A 20,353-nucleotide genomic window follows, 5' to 3' on the forward strand; every position below is an offset into this window, starting at 1 on the left:
CGGAGGTTGCAGTGAGCCGAGATGGTGCCACTGCACTCCAGCCTGGGACGTTTTCTCAAAAGAAAGAGAAGATATATAAATGACCAGTAAGCACATAAACAGATGGATTGCTCAACATCATTCGTCACCAGTGCAATTCAAATTAAAACCATAATAAGATACCACTATGTGACCTCTAGGCTGGTAAAATTAAAACAAAACAAAACACACATACACAGACACTACCACATGCTGGCAAGATTGTGGACTAATTGGAAATAATTCATACTTCACTGGTAGGATTATAAAATTGTACACCCACTTTGAAAAACAGTTTGGCAAGTTTTGTTTTTTGTTTTTGTTTTTAATGAAGTTACACACACATTTACCATATGACCTAGTAATTCCACTTCTAGGCATTTACCCTCCAAAAATTAAAACACATGTATATAAGGACTTGCATATGAATGTTGGGAGCAGCTTTATTCATGATAGCTCTAAACTAAAAACAACCCAAATGTTCACCAACAGGTGAAATAATAATAAATGTGATATGTCCATACAATAGAATACTTCTCAGCAACAAAAAGGAACAAAATGCTTATATACACAAAAACATGAGTAAATATAAAAAGCACCACTGAGTGGAAGAAGCCAGACACTAAAGATTGTATTAACTCATTCCTATGAAGTTCTAGAATAGGTAAGTCTATAGTGACAGAAAGTAAATCAATGGTTTCTTGGTGTTGGGGTGGGAGGATTGCAGTAAGGCACGGGAAACTTTTTGGTGATTACATAGGTCCGTACATTTTCTACACCTCATGGAAAAATGCACTAAAAAGAGGTACATTTTATTATGGATACAAATAATACCCTCAATAAAGTTTATTTAAACTGTAAAACATGTGGTCTTTGAATAATCCTGTCTAGGCACAAAAACCATCTGTAAAGACATTAAAATACATAAAAACATAAAAATATGTAAGGGAACAAAGATAAGTTGAAACATTTCAGCAGAGCTCTAACTTGGGCCACAAAAATTCTAAGCATGGCTAAGTGAAAGTGCATGCAAAAGTTGATAAGCCTTTTATAGCAATGGTAGCCTTCAAATAAGATACAGATATTAAGCATAGACAAGTTAATTGGGTAATCTACCAAACTTACCTTAAATGCTGAGACGTGGAGAACCACTGAGGGAAGCATACAAGTAAAAAGAGCTTGTTGTCCTCTTTACAAAGGAGATGGAGCCATCCACATTAATGCTTCAAGAGCTGCACATAACTAAGAAAGGTAGGGTAAGAATCCTCCTTATATGCTAGGATCAGGTAAAATACAGGGATGTCTGCTCTCATTACTTCCACTCAATGTTGTGCTACCAGTTCTCAACAGAGCAACTGGGCAAGAAAAATAAAGGGATCCTAGCGGGGCGCATTGGCTCCTGCCTGTAATCCTAGCACTTTGGGAGGCCGAGGTGGGTGGATCACTTGAAGCCAGGAGTTTGAGACTAGCCTGGCCAACATGGTGAAACCCCGTCTCTACTAGAAATACAAAAATTAGCCACGCTTGGTGGCTCATGCCTGTAGTCCCAGCTACTTGGGAGGCTAAGGCACAAGAATCGCTTGAACCAGGGAGGCGGGAGGTGGAGGTTGTAGTGAGCCAAGATTGCTTTACTGCACTCCAGCCTGGGCGTGTCTAAAAACAAGAAAATAAAATCCAATTAAAAAAAGAAATAAAAGGAATCCAGATTGGAAAAGTAGAAGCAAAACTGTCTCCGGTTGCAGATGACATGAGTGAAAGAAGCCAGACACTAAGGATTAAATGAATTCATTCATATGAAGTTCTAGAACAGGCAAGTCTATAGTGACAGAAAGTAAAATCAATGGTTTCTTGGTGTATATAGAAGATCTTAAGGAACTTGAAAACTATTATAACTAATAAACAAGTTCAGCAAGGATGCAGGATATAAACTAAATATATAAAATTAAAAAATAATGATTTTGGTATAAATTTAATAAAGGAAGTACAAGGCTTATACAGCAAAAACTATAAAACGTTGTTGAAAGAAATAAAGAGTTCCTGGGCATGGTGGCTCATCCCTGTAATCCTAGCTTTTTGGGAGGCTGAGGAGAGTGGATTGCTTGAACTCAGGAGTTCGAGACCAGCCTGAGCAACATGGTGAAACTCCGTCTCTACAAAAGCATACAAAAATTAGCCAAGGCCGGGCGCGGTGGCTCATGCCTATAATCCTAGCACTTTGGGAGGCCAAGGTGGGTGGATTGCCTGAGCTTAGGAGCTCGAGACCAGCCTGGGCAACATGGTGAAACCCTGTCTCTACTAAAATACAAAAAATTAGCCGGCGTGGTGGCGTGCGCCTGTAGTCCCAGCTACTCAGGAGGCTGAGGTAGGAGAATTGCTTGAACCTGGGAGGTGGAGGTTGCAGTGAGCCGAGATCGCACCACTGCACTCCAGCCTGGGTGACAGAGTGAGACTCTGAGACTCCGTCTCAAAAAAAAAAAAAAATGCTGAGCATGGTAGTGGGTGCCTGAAGTCCCAGCTACTCGGGAGGCGGAGGTTGCACTGAGCCAAGATTGCACCACTGCACTCCAGCCTGAGACCCTGTGAGAGTAAGACCTTGACTCAAAAAAAAAAAAAAAAAAAAAGGAAAAAGAAATTAAAGAGTTAAATAAATGGAAATACATCTCATGTTTATGGACTGGAAGACAATATTGTTAAGATGGCAGTACGCTCCAAGTTGACCTACAGATTCAACATAATTCTTATCAAAAATCTCAGGTGCTTTTTTTTTTTTTTTTTTTTGCTGAAGTTGACAAGCTGATTGTAAAATTTATATGGAAATGTAAGGGGCACAGAATAGCCAAAAACAATCTTGAAGAAGAACAAAGTTGAAGAACTTACACTTCTTGATTTCAACACTTACTACAAAGCTACAGTAATCAAAACAGTATGGTATTAATGCACAACTATTATGTATCCATAAAAATAAAAACAAACCAAACAAACAAAAAACGGCAGTATGGTACTAGCATAAGACAGACATAATAGAATTGAGAGTCCAGAAATAAACCCATAAATCTATAGTCAATTGACCTTAACAAAGGTACAAGATCATTCAGTGGGGAAAGCAGAGTCTTTTCAACAGATGATGCTAGGACAGCTGTACATAGACATGCAAGAGAATGAAATTGGGTCCTGTCTCACACCAGTAACAGAAATGAACTCAAAATGGATCAAATACATAAAATTAAAACTCTTTAAAAGGAAATACAGGTGTAAATTTTTATGACCTTGGATTAGGCAATGATTTCTTAGATATGAACCCAAAAGAACAACCACATAAAAAATAGATAAAATTAGACTTATTCAAAATTTTAAAAAAATTGTGTTTCAAAAGACACCATCAAGAAAATAAAAAGATTGATTCTACTGTAGAAAAGTAAAAAAAAAAAGGGCTGGGCAAGGTGGTTCACGCCTGTAATCCCAGCACTTTGGGAGGCTGAGACAGGCAGATCACGAGGTCATGAGTTCAAGACCAGCCTGGCCAACATAGTGAAACCCATCTCTACTAAAAATACCAAAATTAGCTGGGTATGGTGGTGTGTACCTGTAGTCCCAGCTACTCGGGAGCCTGAGGCAGGAGAATCGCTTGAACCCGGTAGGTGGCGGTTGTGGTGAACCAAGATTGTATGTACCACTGCACTCCAGCCTGGGCAACAGAGTGAGACTCGGTCTCAAAAAAAAAAAAGAAGAAGAAAGTGAAAAAACCCACAGTGTGGGAGAACATATTTATAAGTCATATCCGATAAGGGACTTGCATCTAGAATACATAGAGAACTCTTAGGATTTAAAAATAAAAAGATAACCCATCTTAAAAATAGGCAAAGGATTTGAATAGGCATTTATCCAAAGAAGATATACAAATGGACAATAAGCACATGAAAATAAGGTCAACATTAGGAAAGTGCAAATAAAAACTACAATGAGATCCTGTACATGTACCCTGGAACTTAAAAGTTGAAGGAAAGAAAAAAAAATACAATGAGATATTTTGCACCCACTAAGATGGCTATAATAAAAAATACAGACAATAACAAGTATTGGTAAGGATCTGGAGAAATTAGAGCTCTCATATATCGCTAGTGGGACTGAAGAATGGTGCAGCTCTGTGGAAGAGTTTGATAGTTCCTCAATAAGTTAAACACAGTTACCATATGATCTAACAATTCTGTTCTGTATATATCCAACAAAGTTGAACACACGTATACACAAACACTTGCATGTGAGTGTTCATAGGAGCATTATTCTTAACAGCCTTGATAGAAACAACCCAAATGTTTATTAACTAATGAATGGATAACAAAAGGTCATATATTCATATGATGGAATATTATTCAGCCATAAAGTGGAATAAAGTTCCGACATGTGCCACAACATGATGAACCACACAGAAAAGGCCACATTTGTATGAAATGTCCAGAATAGGCAAATCCAGAGAGTCAGTAAATACATTAGTGGTCCAGAAACCAGGGGACGTGAGAATGGGTAGTGACTAGTAATGGTATGGTAGCAGATTCTTTTTGAGGCCTTGAAAATATTCTAGAATTGGGCCAGGTGTGCCTGTAATCCCAGCACTTCGGGAGGCTGAGGCGGGCAGATCATGAGGTCAGGAGTTTGAGACCAGCTCAAACTGGTGAAACCCCATCTTTACTAAAAATACAAAAATACAAAAATTAGCCGGGCTAAAAATACAAAAATTATTAAAATACAAAAACACTAAAAATACAAAAATTAGCTGGGCGGGGTGGCATGCGCCTGTAATCCCAGTTACTTGGGAGGCTGGGCAGGAGAATTGCTTGAACCTGGGAGGCGGAGGTTGCAGTGAGCCGAGATGGCGCCACTGCATTCCAGCCTGGGCGACAGGGCGAGACTCAGTCTCAAAAAAAAAAAAAAAAAAAAAAAATCCTAGAATTGGATAATGGTGATAGTTGCATAACTTTGGGAATATGCTAAAAACTACTGAACTGTTAAAAATAAGGATAAGGATATCTATTCTGCCTTTACCAAATAATCTAATGTAAATAAATATGCTTTGCAAATTGTAATAAAAAAGAGAGAGAGAAAGAAGAGAGAAGAAAAAGGAAAAAGAAAGAGAAACCTTTCCCATAGAAGCCAGGTGAGACCAGTTCCTTGTAATCATACTTTGGAAACCTTATCACTCCTAAAGGAGTGAATACCAGAAGAATATCTTTGCCCAGTACCATTAACAACTGGTCTAAAGCCAAGAGACAGCCTGGCTGTGGTGGGAGGACAACTTGCTTATCTATGTCTACTAACCAGTAAGTGTATATTTCTAATCTGCTCCTTACCCATATGGGTGTTGGTGTTCTGAATCTTTCTGTAGCACTCTATGAACAATGCAATCATGCACGATTATTTTTATGAACAGATAAACTTTTTTTTATTTTATTTTTTTTGAGACAGAGCCTCGCTCTTTCGCCCAGGCAGGACTCCAGTGGCACTATCTCGGCTCACTGCAAGCTCTGCCTCCCAGGTTCACGCCATTCTCCTGCCTCAGCCTCCCTAGCAGCTGGGACTACAGGCGCCCGCCACCGCACCCAGCTAATTTTTTGTATTTTTAGTAGAGACGGGGTTTCACCATGTTAGCCAGGATGGTCTCGATTTCCTGACCTCGTGATCCGCCCGCCTCAGCCTCCCAAAGTGCTGGGATTACAGGCGTGAGCCACCGCGCCCGGCCATGAACAGATAAACTTTAAGGAAAAGAGACTGATCCCAAAAAAGACTTTTTACATGATTGGATCTTTTAGACATAAACAAATGTAAAAGTGCCATTAAAATGCATGGTTGTCAAGGATGTCTAACCTTAGAACCATTCAAAAATCACTTGACTGCAAAAGTCATTAAATGCTCCAAGTACATTCACACATTTTCTTTTTAAAAATTTATTATTATTATTATTTGAGACAGGGTTTTGCTGTGCCGCTCAGGCTGGAGTGCAGTGGTGCAATCTCGGCTCACTGCAACCTCTGCCTCCCGGGCTCAAGCAATCCTCTTACCTTAGCCTCTGGAGTAGCTGGGACCACAGGCACACATCACCACGCCCGGATAATTTTTGTATTTTTTGTAGAGATGGGATTTCACTATTTGCCCGGGCTGGTCTCAAACTCCTGGGCTTAAGTGATCCTCCTGCCTTGGCCTCTTAAAGTGCTGGGAATATAGGTGTGTGCCACCAAAACTGTGCCTGGCTGACTCAAAATTGTTCTTGATGTTGGCAACTTTGAGGGTACAGTCAAGGTGGCATATGCCAAGATGTAACATGTTATCACTGGATTTTTATGTTGTATTGGCCTTGAGCTTTTATCATTGTAAATTGGTGTGTTTATAAAGCATATGTTCTATCATAACCCTCCTCCTAAGGAAACAGGGTCAGTGCTTGAATAAGAACCTTTATCAGCAAAGGGAAATAGAAGAGACAACATGATTAAAAAATGTAAGTAACTTTTGCCAGATATGAGGTCCTCTTTGCTTTGCTAATAAATGATGCCTTTACTCCAATAAAGCGCTTGGAAAGCCTAATTCATAAAAAGATGCTATAAATTTATTGAGCTAACAGAAATGTTTCTGAGAGTTCACAATTGGTGGTTTGCAAAAACACTCTCCAGACCAAAAAATTAGGAAATATTTAATAGGAAATGTAAAGCTTTAATGGCAAAAAGGAAGAACTTTTGATCAATTGAAAGCATTCTGGCTAAAATGACTGTACGAAATCTGATATTATTTGAATTGTGTTTAAACCACCAATTTTGTTCTCCATCATGGCTTAACTTCTATAGTGATCAAACTTGACTGTAGTCAAATAGATAAGAAGCATGAATGCCCTAAAGATAAGGTATTTAAAGTAAGGAGAGGTCCGGTTCAATGGCTCACATCTATAAGTAATCCCAGCACTTTGGGAGGCTGAGGTGGGAGGATCATTTGAGCCTAGGAGGGGGAGCTTGCAGTGAGCTGCAATTGGGCCACTATGCTCCAACCTTGGCAACAGAGCAAGATGCTGTATAAACTAACAAACAAATAAATAAAGTAAGGAGAAAGGGAAAAAATCACTTTGGCAATTTTCAATCTTGATTTAGTTCTGGTTTGCTCGTCTTTTGATTTTTGGAAAAAAAAGTTCAAATGTAAGAGCTTTTATATTGATTCATTGTAAACTTCCAAGTCTGGTAACTTTTAAATAATAAAACCAGAAAATTGGCCGGGCACAGTGGCTTATGCCTGTAATCCCCACACTTTGGGAGGCTGAGGTAGGTGGATCGCCTGAGGTCAGGAGTTCGAGACCAGCCTGGCCAACATGGTGAAACCCCATCTCTACTAAAAATACAAAAATTAGCCGGGTGTGGTGGCGGGCTCCTGTAATCCCTGTAATCTCAGAAGGCTGAGACAGGAGAATCGCTTAAACCCGGGAGGTGGAGGTTGCAGTGAGCTGAGATCATGCCATTGTACTCCAGCCTGGAGAACAAGAGCAAAACTCCTTCTCAAAAATAAATAAATAAATAAAATCAGAAAATTAAATTTTTAAAGAATCTAGTTTTGTATGGAGTAGTTCCTGGTGGCTCACGGCTGGGCACTTGGGTCCCCTCCACATGGCCTTTCATCCTCCAGTAGGTTAGACTGAGCTTCTTTTCAGGGCAGTGTTTGAAGAGGGTGAGAATGGAAGCTACAAGCTTTCTTGGGGTCTAGATTTGTAAGTCCTACAATATTACTTCTGCTGTACCTACTGGTCAGAAAAAGTCACAAGGCCTATCCAGTTTCAAGGGATGGGGAAATAGACTACATCTCTTTATTCAAGAAGTATCACAGTTATATTGCAAAGGTGCTGACCTGTAAATATTAGATGAATCACTGGGACCATCTTTGTAAGCAATCTACTCTAGTCCTTATTTTCATGGCTCAGGAGACAGCTCTAGCCATAAAGCCCATGTTCTAAGCATCAGGATGGGGGAAGAGAAAAGGAGGGCATTCCCTCTATCTTTAGGAATATGTCCCAGTGGTTGCACATATTATATCCCTATCATTGATTAAAACTTAAGGGCCAGGTGCAGTGGCTCACACCTGTAATCCCAACACTTTGGGAGGCCAAGGCGGGCGGATCATGAGGTCAGGAGTTCAAGACCAGCCTGGCCAATACGGTGAAACCCCGTCTCTACTAAAAATACAAAAATTACCCGGGTGTGGTGGCATGCACCTGTAGTCCCAGCTACTCGGGAGGCTGAGGTCGAAGAGTCGCTTGAACCCGGGAGACGGAGTTTGCAGTGAGCCGAGACCACACCATTGCACTCCAGCCTGGGCGACAGAGTGAGACTCCATCTCAAACAAACAAACACTTAATTACATGGCCCCATCAAGCTACAAGAGGCTGGGAAATAGAATCTTTGTTCTAGATAGCCAAGTGCCCAGGTAAAAAGCATGAGTTCTGTGTACTGTAGAAAAAGAAGACTGGATTTTGGTGGGGCAAAAACCAATAGTATCTGCTAGACATAACACAGGAATATATTGTACTAATTCAACTCCAAAAAATATTTTCACCTAATCCACATTTCTTAATTTCAAATTCCACTACTACTGCCCTGAGTCAGACTGGAACTGCCTTTGCAAAAATTATGACATTGAGAGAAATCTAACATAACTGACTTAATCTTGCTTCTAACCTCAGAAGATAACTGCCCTTGCTCATTCCCGGGCATAGGCCAAGCTAACTATGGGAGGAATTTAGTTTATAGTTTAACCTTAAAGCAAGGATGATAATAGCTGCTTCCCAAAACTATTCCCCTCCTTGTTTGGGGACCAAAACCACCTTTGTAAAACTAATAGAGTCCACAAAATTAGAATTTTGGGAGGGGCCTGAATTCTGTAACACCTATGCATAGTTAAATGATAACTAGTCATGGTTTCCTAATGTGCTTACTGCTCAGGAGTCATGTAGCTGGTGTTCAAAAGATTTAAAACTTCCCTACTTGCTCCTATAGATAACGTCACTCTTGTAAAACCCAAGACTGGTGTTGGAGATATTTTTCAGACTTTGCATTCTGATGGAACAAATGATACCACCTGTCTGGTCACCCCCACCTAGGAATGAACTCAGTGCCTATGATTTCATTCCTGCCCCAGCCAAACAACATTTCCCATTTCCTAACCCTCTACCCACCAATCTATCCTTAAAAACCCTAGCCTCTGAGCCCTCAGGAAGGCGGATTTGGGAAACCTCTCCTGTCCTCCTGCTCAGCTGCCTTGCGATAATTAAATTATTTCTCTGCTATCTCAGTGTATTGGCTTTATCTGTGCAGTGGGCAAGAAGAACCTATTGGGCTTTAACAACATTACCTCATCTCTTACCTGGACCACAGCCATACTCTCGTAACTCATCTCCCTTCTACTATGTTTGATCCCCTATAAGCCTTTCTTTACACAACTATATGAAAATCTTCATATGTCACTCCTCTACTTGAAACCTTTCAATGTTTTTTTCATTGGCTCTGAATGAAACTAATACTTACCATGGCCACAAGACCATGTATGATCTGGTCTCCATCTATCCCATGAACTCATCTCATTCTGCTTTCCACCTGCACTCACTGTATCTCCAGGCACACCAGGCTTCCCTCAGGTCATCTCTCCAAGCACTTTCCCCCTTTGGGGGCTTTATAAGAGGTATGTGATCACACCCCAGCCTCCTTTCATGAGTTTGGAATCAACTAGGAAGAAAACACAAGGGTCAGACTGGACAGAGATAAAAATATCAGCTTTATTCTTAAAAGCACTGGGTTGGAGAACAAGTTTAGATGTGCAGCTATAATCAGACCTTCTTGGGAGCCAACATTTTCTTGTAGAAATACAAGGACTGAGGCATAGAGTTTCATCTCTATTTACTTCAGGCCTTTTTCTGTTTGTTTGTTTGTTTTTTGATTTCACAAACTACTACTTTGTATAATAGTAAAAAGGGTTGTTTTATGGTACCAGGCACGTTGTTAACACAATTTTTTTTTTAATTCTTTTTAAGACAGAGTCTCGCTCTGTCACCCAAGCTGGAGTGCAGTGGCATGATCACAGCTCACTGCAACCTCCACTTCCCAGGTTCAAGTGATCCTCCCACCTCAGCCTCCCAAGTAGCTGGGATTATAGGCGTGCACCACCACGCCTAGCTAATTTTTGTATTTTTGGTAGAGATGGGGTTTTGCCATGCTGGCCAGGCTGGTCTTGAACTCCTGACCTCAAGTGATCCACCTGCCTCAGCCTCCCAAAGTGCTGGGATTACAGGCATGAGCCACCGTGCCTCGCCTTGTTAACACAATTCTTAAACAATTGTGAAGACATCGAGATTTTTCTCTCCTTCAGTATCACCTTTGCAAATTATAGGATATTTATCACTTTTGTAATTTACAAAAAAATGTAGTGTTATTCACATTTAGTCATTTTTTCAAGACACACATTTTGAAATTGTCAGCTTCTCTGGAGAAATATGATTAACCAAAACATAATCTAGCACTGCCCCTCCCTCCCAAGAAAAATAAACAAACCAGCGGGTCAATTTAATCCTACATTGAGGGTGTAGTTTTGTGAAATAACACTTGTTGAACATTAGTATCTAAATTATTCATAGAACTCAAACAGATATATTTAGCTTTTAACCATTCCTCCTTCAAAACAAACCATGAGCTCTTAGTGGAAAATATGATTTGACCACAAAAAACTTAAATATGAAGCAAAAAATGAACTTCAAGGTGAATGAATTCAAAGGTAATTTGTCTTGTAAACACTCTGATTTTGGAACAAATCATGCCCTTTAGGAAAAACAAAAACAATGAAGCTACTCCTTTTGGTAAAGCTTCCCAGGCTGCTTGGGAAGCAAATACAAGAATACTACCTTAGAACAGAATCCTGTTGTACCGAGTGCTCTTCCCTACCTGCTCCTTGCACATTGCTATCCCCACTATGACCATGCGGGTCTCTAGGGCAAGTAGGAGTATTTCCTTTCGCAGGGAAGGAGACAGAGACACTCATGTGAAGTGATTGCCTGAAATTATATGCTACCTTAGCAGGAGATCCTAAATAAGATGGCCTAATCGTCATCCAGAAGTCTAAGGCCTTGGCCCGAGCCTGGCTGTGACCATTCATTCTGGACAGCCTCATCCTTACACGTGGGGGAAAGCCAATGGTATCAGTTAGAACTCTCTTTTCCAAGACCAGAAACCAAACTGACCTAGAAAGGGGATTTCAAAAAGGGGATTACTGTCTGGCTGCAGTGATGGCTTGATGAAGTAGGTCATGTTACCAAGACCTAGTCTTTCTTTTGTCTTTTTGTTCCACATTCTCTGATTTGTCCTGTTTTCAGCCAAGCTTCTTCATTGTGGTAGCAGTTTGGTTGCTGTAGTTCCAAACCTAACTTTCTATCACTTCAAATCCAGTGAAAAAAAGAGCAAAAATTTTTTTTGTTTTTTTTCCCAGAAGTCCCAGCCCAAGTTTTATTTGTGTCCCATTGACTCTAATTGAGTGGATCAGTCACTATGTTACTGGTGACATATGTCACTATGGCCACATGTTGTACCATGCCTTGGTCACTTGCTCCTCCACTTTGACTAGGCTGGAGGCAATTCTGCAGATTCAAAGATTCTGTAGCATCCTGCATAAAGAGGCTTCAGAGAAACCTGCAAAGGCAGGCTTTGGTTTTACTGTTTCTTTAAACTTTCCCATAGTTTGGGAGCAATATTTTGTGTAAGGAAATCAAGCTGTGTGAGAAAAGAAGGATGGATGCTGGGTGGAAAAACAACCCTCCACCTATATATACTTTAGCAGCCTGTTCATATTTGAAGTTCTCAATGGGAGAATCTTTGCCTCAGATTTGGTTTCTAGAGCCATGTCAGCAGCTCCAGCTGTGAGGCGATGAAGCTGGAAGAGTCTAGAGAGGCTGTGTCCACCTTAGAAGCACCACTCAATCTCAGCAAACAACCTTTATTTTCACTTAATAAGCCACTAGCTCAAGAGACCTACCAATCCCTGGCATGCGTGCTAGGTGGCTAATTTCATGATCAAGAACCAACATGCTTCCTTCATGATCTAGAGAAGACAGAAGGACGGTATTTCCAGTCTGCCAGCCATTAGTTAATTAAATTGCTTAATCACACCATTCCATGACAACTGGTAAATTAGCATCATCCCTCCATCCAAAGGGAATTAAAAACCACGAAGATACATTATTCTGGGACAGTAAGACAGTTAACAGGAAGGCAATATGATTTAGGAGCCAAAAATATAAACAATGCTTTTCACACTACAGGTTTTCAATGTATTCATAGTCTTAAACTTAATAATAATGAGATTATTATTTATTGGAAGAATTTAGTTGTATTAGTTGAGAGAGCTAAAGGAAAAGGAACACTCCTAGTAAGGGAAAGGTTTCGTCTATTCCCGAATTTTACAATCCTTGATTTTTAAGTCATCTAGTGTTCCAGAATTGTTTTCATTTTACATTTAGCTTAGTTGAAGCAGGAAGCATTGCATGAGTTTCCTTCAACCACTGACAAAGCAGAAACTTGCAAACAACCTGGTTCTCCTGAGGCCCAGACTTTAGAAGGCTCCACCATGCTACTTATGCTTTAAAACAAAAATTTCCCCCACTTTGTGTTTTATACAGATCTCAGTGCTAGAAGACAGGTTCACGTTTTTGTAGAGGATGTTGAGTTTCGTATGACCAGGGTTTATAGTTGCAGACAACTGAAGCTTACGTTGTATGATTTATTCTCACAGAATTTCTGGTAATGATGCAGAAGTAGGCTTGGAAACCAAGCAGAAGACAGGAAGGTATTTAGCAGCCTGGAAGATGCCTGATAAACCCAGTCTGATGAGGGCTCTCCTACCTTCACCACTCAACACTCTGCTGCTACCAGAAACTGGATGCCATTGGATAAGGGTTGTCAGACAAAATACAAGGTACCTAGTTATATTGGAATTTTAAATAAATGATATATTTCTGAACATAAATAGGTTCCACACAATATATCAGGCATACTCATACTAAAATTATACTAAAAATATTTGTTCTTAGGCTGGACATGGTGGCTCACGCCTGTAATCCTAGTACTTTGGGAGGCCCAGGTGGGTGGATTTCTTGGCACTTTGGGAGGCCAAGGTGGGTGAATTGCTTGAGCTTGGGAGTTTGACAACAGCCTAGCCAACATGGTGAAACCCTGTCTCTATAGCTGGGCGTGGTGGTGGGTCCCTATAATCTCAGCTACTTGGGAGGCTGAGGCAGGAGAATCGCTTGAACCTGGGAGGTGGAGATTGCAGTGAGCTGGTATGGTACTACTGCATTCCAGCCTGGGGGACAGAGCGAGACTCCATCTCAAAAAAAAAAAAAAAAAGAAAAAGTTGTTTATCTGAAATTCAGATTTAACTGGACCTCTTGTATTTTCATGTTAAATCTGGTAACCCCGTACTGGATGTCCCATTGCTACTGCCACGGCTGTCCGTGTAAACTAGCCACCACCTGCCACTCAAATGGATTTTCCAGGTGGTTCCTGGCTCTTTGCATCATGGGTTCTGAAAAGAACCTGAGTCAGGTATGTGTGATCGGTGTAGCCTCTGCTACAAGCCCCTGATTCGAGGGAGCAGAAAGCTCATGGTGTCTTCAGCATTGTTGGTGGGAAGTGGCCCCTGTCTTCTACTGAATCTTAAATTTCTCAAACATGGGGGTGGGCAGCAGTGAGGTCCAGATATTGGAGCACTGGTGGGGAAGACAAATGCCTATCCTATTTTCTCTTTAACATATATCCCTCCTCTTTTTTACTGTCTAGTGGCCTGTGAGTGGGGGCCAGGCATGATTTGTGTGTGTGTGTGTGTGTGTGTGGGTGTGTGTGTGTGTTTGTCAGTGACTGGTTCAAGAACCCACATCTAAGCCAGTTAGCAAGGCCGGGAGCAGTGGCTCATGCCTGTAATCCCAGCACTTTGGGAGGCCAAGAACGGCAGATCGCCTGAAGTCAGGGGTTCGAGACCAGCCTGGGCAACATGGTGAAACCCCGTCTCTACTAAACATACAAAAATTAGCCAGGTGTGGTGGTGGTAATAAACGCCTGTAGTCCCAGCTACTTGGGAGGGTGAGGCAGGAGAATCACTTGAACCTGGGAGGCAGAGGTTGCAATGAGCCCGGATTGCGCCACTGCACTCCAGCCTAGGCAACAGAGCGAGACTCTGTCTCAAAAGTAAAAGAAAAGGAAAAGAAAAAATAAAATAAAATTTCATCAAGCCAGTTAGCAGATGACACTGCCGTGGCCACTGGGTTATTTTAAGACTGAGCACATGACCCAATCTGGGCCAATGAGATGAGAGGAAGGTTTGCTGGAGGATTCCAGGGAAAGTTACCTTATTCCTGATACCCGAATAAAGAAACGATCTTGACCAGGTGTGGTGGCTCACGCCTGTAATTTCAAAACTTTGGGAAGCCGAGGCGGGCAGATGGCTTGAGCCCAGGACTTAAGAGACCAGCCTGGACAACAAGGTGAGACCCCCATCTCTATTTATAATAGTAATAAGAAAAGAAATGATCTTATCTTCATCCAGATATTTTTGTGTGTAGTGGCGAGGTCTAGAAATTTTGTAGCCATCCTGCTTCCAGCCAGAGATGAACACAGAGAGAAAACAAGGGCAGAAAGCATCCTGGTAGTTGCTCAGGTGTGGAGCTGGGACTACTGGATTAAGTTCCCTGAAGGCTGTTCTCCATCTGGATATCCAGTTATGTGCACAGGTTCATTTTTATTTGGCTTAAGCAACTTCAAGTTGTGTGTTCTGGTACTTACAGCCAAAACCAACCCAACTAAAAAGAAGATTCATGAATATGTGAAGTGCTTTTGTAACCTTATCATTTGCTGAAATCTGAAAGTATAGCATAATGTTGTTTTGGTTGAACTAGAAATTATTGATATTATGAAACTGTATTTCAAAGATTAGTATTTAAATTAATGCAACACAAACAACTGGAGATCTGCTTCATTAGGCCAGAGAAAGCAATTTATGATGATTGCCAGATTCTTGCTCTTTTTGCATGAAGGCTTGGAGGATGAAGAGCATGAGACAGCCTCTCAGGGAGTACCCTCTGAGGAGAGAAACATATTTAAATTTTTGGAAAGGCCTACAGTGCAAACATAAACAGGATTTTAGAGAACACTGCCCTCCCTCCGTTTTTCTTCATATGGTGGACAGCTGCTACTTTGGCCTGCCTAGCAACTTTCCCCACTTCTTTGAGAATAGCATTCTGCTTTTCCTTTGTATAACTCTCTCCTTCATGCCCTGCAATCCTGTTGGGACCAGCCACCCAGGTCACACATCTGCTCTCAACCATTAGCCCCGAAGGTGGGCGTGTGATTTCTCACAGATTTTAGATCTCCAAGGGAGTGATGCAAGAGGGAAAATCTTCTTGGGATTATTCCCAAACGAACTCGCCATGGATCCCTGTTCTTGAAATCCCCAGAAATGGAAATACCTGATTCCTGTTCTTTCTGTGTAGCTTGATTCTAGCCAGCCCCTCTAATGGCTTTGCTTAAGGTAGCCAGTGTGAGTTTCTGTCGTATGCCACCAAAGACCTTAGACCATACTCCACCAGAACAGTCTGTGAAAAAAAATCAAGCCTTCATGTAGGAGCTACATTTATGTTTTCACTAGACGTGCAAATACAAGTCTGATATAAACCTGTTTATAGTAACTTCTATCACATGCCTAAACTATCATATAATCAATTGTTAAGAAAAGCTTTTTGGGAACCGAAGTGTATTTTATTTATTTATTCATTTACCAGTTATGTGACACTTAGTGTGTTGAAGGCATTGCTTATTTGTTTAATCCTCATTACAATCTAGTAATGTAAGTACTATATTTATTCCTATTTTACAGATTCTGAAACTAAAGCACAGAAAGGTTAAGTAATGTGCTCAGTGTCACACAGCTAGTAAATTATGGAGCTGCGATCCAAGCTGTGAGAGGCTGACTTCAGTCTGTGTTTTTTATCCATTGTGTAAAACTGCATCATTAGAAGACTGAAACTTAAAATATAAAATCAACTTCTAATAAATAGGATTAGATATATGGAAAAGCAGCTTAACAATAAAATATCTTCCAGGCCAGAAGCCAGAAAGAGAAACAGAGGTGTCTGAAGCCCTTGGATTGCAGCTTTCAATTTCTGAGCCAAATAAAACTGCTTAGGATTTCCAGGTGGGCGGTGGGGGTGGGGGGTGGGAATCCTCATCTAATGAATGAGCAAGCACGAACTAAGTCCAAACACCTGCTACTTTTTTTTGTTGTTGTTGTTCACTGTTGCCAGGTGATCCATGATGAGCCTTGGATCAATAAGTAATTATAATTGACATAGTATATAATTAATTATGTAATTTCAACTTACTAAGTTTATTTCCACTAAGATTGTCCCATAAAACTGGGATATTTTAAAGGCTTCCATGGAAAAGGAGAGACTAAAGATCAAAGACTTTTTTACATTTGACTCAGCTATGAATCATATCCTCTACAGTGTGAATTATCTCAGCCCACCATTATTAACTCTAGCAAATATAATGAAATTATTCTATCATTCATTCAACTTTATGCAGTTGGTGCCAAGTGCCAGCCACACTTCTGGGCACTGAGGATATGACAGTGAATAAGCAGGTGAAAATTCCTTCCTTGATGGCACCGATATTCTAGTGGGCAGTTGTAATCCCACCACTGCACAACTGAACAAGCCTGAATGTCTCCAGTCTCCAAATTGTTTCCATTACTACACAGAATGAAAGAATAGATTCATCTAGCCAGGCGTGGTGGCTCATGCTTGTAATCTCAGCACTTTGGGAGGCCGAGGTGGGTGGATCACCTAAGGTCAGGAGTTTGAGACCAGCTTGGCCAACATGGTGAAACCTCTTCTCCACTAAAAACACAAGAATTAGCTGGTTGCGGTGGCACATACCTGTAGTCCCAGCTACTCGGGAGGCTGAGGCAGGAGAATTGCTTGAACCCCGGAGGCAGAGGTTGCAGTGAGTTGAGATGGCACCACTGCACTCCAGCCTGGGTGACAGAGAGAGACTTTGTCTGAAAAAAGAAACTAAAAAAAAAAAGAGAATAGATTTCTCCGATAGCTGTGCTGAGTGTTTAGGGGAGACATCAGTTGGCTTGATCCTTCTAGAGGTGCCAAGAGAGAGGACACTTGGTGGAAGACTGCCTGGCAGAGGCAGTAATATCTGCTTGGAGATAATGATGATTTGTTATTGTATGTTTAAGGTTTCACAGGAACAGATTGTGCCCAAAGGAACTCTCCATGGATCCCAAATTTTGAATATATAAAATTTATATACTTTAATGTACTTAATTCTCACAACAACCTAAGATCTACCGTAGTTCATAAATTTACTATTTTCATATCTTAACTTTTCTGAAATTGAGATGCATCTTACAAGCCATGGTCTCTTATTATTACTGTCAGTAGAGTGGAAGTGCCGATGGAGATACTGGGGGTGTTGCACTTGGCCAGAGCTGTTCATATTTTCAGCAGTTCAGGTGAATTATGAACATTGCTGATACGGCATGTGTTGGGTTACTTGTTGTTTATATGTTCCTGGTTCTTGTCTGAAACCTTCTGTTGACACCTGCTGTTCAGATCATCTTGCAGAATGGGTGCCAACAGCATGGAAGAAAGTCTCCAAGATGGAGCTGGGAGTTAGATGAGGCATGCACAGTGGAGCATTTCTCTAGGAAATGCGGCTTCACCAGTCCTATTGCTGGAACAGATGGTAGTTTTGTATGGAAAAAGTCTGAGTAAGCATTGGATTCTAATGTAACAGGATTGTTTTTCATTGTAGTACATGGTGTGTATTGTAATCAAAGGCATCCTAGATTCAATGAAATACAGAACTATTACCTCATTTTACAGAGGAGGAAGCTGAGCCACAATAATGTGAATTAACTTGCCCCAAACTTCACAGTTTGAGATGGCAGATCCAGGACCTAATCCTGAACTGCATGGTTTCAGAGTTCACGTACTCAGTTAACTATTGTACTATGCTGCCTGTCAGTATAAATGCAGCTGGCTGAGGGAGGTTACCACAGCCTGATTTACTTACTTAGTGAATCAGTATTCATTGCGTGCCCACCATGTGCCCGATATTGGCATATATTTGGGGACAGGCACAGTGGCGTGAAAGAAATTAAAGCCTTGTGGAGTACATAGCTTAATAAAAAGGAATAGGTCTTAATCAAATAACAACAGGAGAGCCAGGCACGGTGACTCACACCTGTAATCCTAGCACTTTGGAATGCTGAGGTGGGCAGATTGCCTGAGCTCAGGCGTTCTAGACCACCATGGGCAACATGGTGAAACCCCATCTGTACTAAAATACAAAAAAATTAGCTGGGCGTGGTGGTGCGCACCTGTAATCCCAGCTACTCGGGAGGCTGAGGCACAAGAATAGCTTGAACCCGGGAGGTGGAGGTTGCAGTGAGCCAAGATCACAGCACTGCACTCAAGCCTGGGTGACAGAATGAGACTCTGTCTCAGAAAAAAAACAAAACAAACAAACAAAAAACCCAGGAGTAAATGTCAAGTTGCAAATGTGCAGTAAGTGGCAGGAGAGCTACATCATGCTGTTAAAATGTAAAAGCGAGGGGCCCTTTTATAACCTGAGGAATCATGGAAGGCTTCCTGGAGGGAGAGTCCTTTGGGCTAAAGGTAAATAGGCAAATAGGGTACAGGGAGAAGCATAGCAGAAGGAGGAAACAGCATGTAAAAAAGACCCTGTGGTAGGAAAGAACTTATTGCCTTTCTTTTATTTATTCAATTTAAAAAAATAGAGACAGGGTCTCACTATGTTGGCCAGGTTGGTCTTGAATTCCTGGCCTCAAGCAATCCTCCCACCTCTGCCTCCCAAAGTGCTAGGATTACAGGCATGAGCCACCATGCCCAACCAAACTTATCAACTTTCCATATTGGAAGGAAGCCAGCGTGGCATGTCTCTGTGTGTGCATGTGCATGCGGGTGTGTGTGTGTGTGTGTGTGTGTGTGTGTGTGTGTGTGTGTGTGTAGGTGGGGGTCAGAGGGTTATGAGATGAAGGTAGAGAAGTAGATGGAGATGAGATCACATATGGCCCTGTAGCCATGTTAAAGATTGTAGTCTCCATCCTGAAAGGAATGGGGGCCTTTTGTACCCCAAAATGAGTCATTGACTATGGATGCCTTTGGAAGCGTCATAACCTTTTAGACAAAGCACTCCCATCAGACAAGGGTCATTCTTGGGAGAAGTGGGGCAGCTAAGAGCCATTAGCAGCCAATAGCCACAGTAAGCAGTGGTTGAGACTTTCTACTTGGTACTGGGGATTTAGGGAACATTTCAGCATCCACTATGAGAATTGTGCTCAGCTTCATGGTTCATAGTGTCCACGAAGTAAAAACCAGCTACTCTGAAGAAGAAGAATTCCTCTTGCTGAAACCAGGATAAATTTGTTCTGATGTGGTGTGATTTGCAATGTTCTCAGTAATATCCCTAGAGTAGACTCAGGGCTGTTTCTTCCAGTTCTCCTGAGAACAGGGCAATCAGATGCTGTGAGAAGCCAGAGTTGCCACAGGTACAGAGCTTTTTTGATCTGTATGTGGCAGATTTGGCTCCCAATGGAATCCACTGACTTCTCACTTCCAGGGGGTAGCTCAGAGGTGAAACTATAAAGTCGGTGGAGAGTATCTTCTCTGTCCCTGCCTCACTACCACCCTCTCAGCATCCTTTTCTGTCCCCACTTCACTACTACCTTTCTTCCATTTGATCTCCAACTTTAAATTGTTTTCCAGATATTTCTTTCTTTCTTTTTTTCTAAAGGAACTTAACTTTAAAAAGTGTTAGAGATTTATGGTACACGTAGGATGTTTGCATTTTAAAGACCACTGGGAACCAACAGTGTTTATCATAGGGAAATGAGTAACTATTCATATAATTTAAGGCATGTGGACCCCTTTAAATTATGTAAGATGACTAAGCTCCTCATACAAACTACATACACAGGGTGATCGAATAAGCAAACAGTAGAGAAAAGTTGGGAAGCTCTTATTCTGCACTCTCACTTTGCATATAGAACAATCCAGGCCATTACTCTTAGCTAATCTTCTTTTCCTCTCCCTTCCTGTGTCTTAGTTTTCTCTTCACCAAATAGAGAGAGTGGCAGGGTAGATGGCATTGCTAGGCCCAATCAAAGACAGAGACAAGGATGGAATAATTCTGATACATTCATTTTCCCCATGGCAGTGATAACCAGCACAACAGCAATGGCACAA

The 20,353-nt window shown here is 41.3% G+C and overlaps 2 long non-coding RNA genes across 2 annotated transcripts in view, besides 2 other annotated features; one reads left to right on the forward strand and one right to left on the reverse strand.

Moving 5' to 3' along the window:
• Positions 1-1,187: 1,187 nt before the first annotated feature.
• On the reverse strand, positions 1,188-15,658 carry LOC107987114 (uncharacterized). The gene is made up of 3 exons (XR_001746890.1): positions 15,539-15,658; positions 9,564-9,761; positions 1,188-1,260 (listed from the first exon to the last, which is right to left on the reverse strand). It is a non-coding gene; the product is annotated as an uncharacterized LOC107987114 (long non-coding RNA).
• Positions 12,042-12,211: an enhancer, noted in NCBI's record as "experimental_104724 CRE fragment used in MPRA reporter constructs". NCBI's record gives its function as "activates a minimal promoter by MPRAs in K562 erythroleukemia cells, with activity observed for both the introgressed and non-introgressed 9:113036125 variant alleles {active_cell/tissue: K562}" and the evidence as "EXISTENCE:reporter gene assay evidence [ECO:0000049][PMID:34662402]".
• The window catches only part of LOC124902246 (uncharacterized), a 38,529-nt gene continuing 30,364 nt past the window's right edge, over positions 12,189-20,353 (forward strand). The window contains exon 1 of the long non-coding RNA XR_007061729.1: positions 12,189-12,993. This is a non-coding gene — a long non-coding RNA (uncharacterized LOC124902246). The remainder of the gene's footprint in view (positions 12,994-20,353) is intronic.
• Positions 16,080-17,279: an enhancer, noted in NCBI's record as "P300/CBP strongly-dependent group 1 enhancer chr9:113040078-113041277 (GRCh37/hg19 assembly coordinates)". NCBI's record gives its function as "activates an origin of replication core promoter dependent on BRD2, BRD4, P300/CBP, MED14 and CDK7 cofactors, with strong dependence on P300/CBP, by STARR-seq in HCT116 cells {active_cell/tissue: HCT116}" and the evidence as "EXISTENCE:reporter gene assay evidence [ECO:0000049][PMID:35650434]".

This window comes from Homo sapiens, chromosome 9 (assembly GCF_000001405.40).
Source record: "Homo sapiens chromosome 9, GRCh38.p14 Primary Assembly".
NCBI classification, from domain to species: Eukaryota; Metazoa; Chordata; class Mammalia; order Primates; family Hominidae; genus Homo; species Homo sapiens.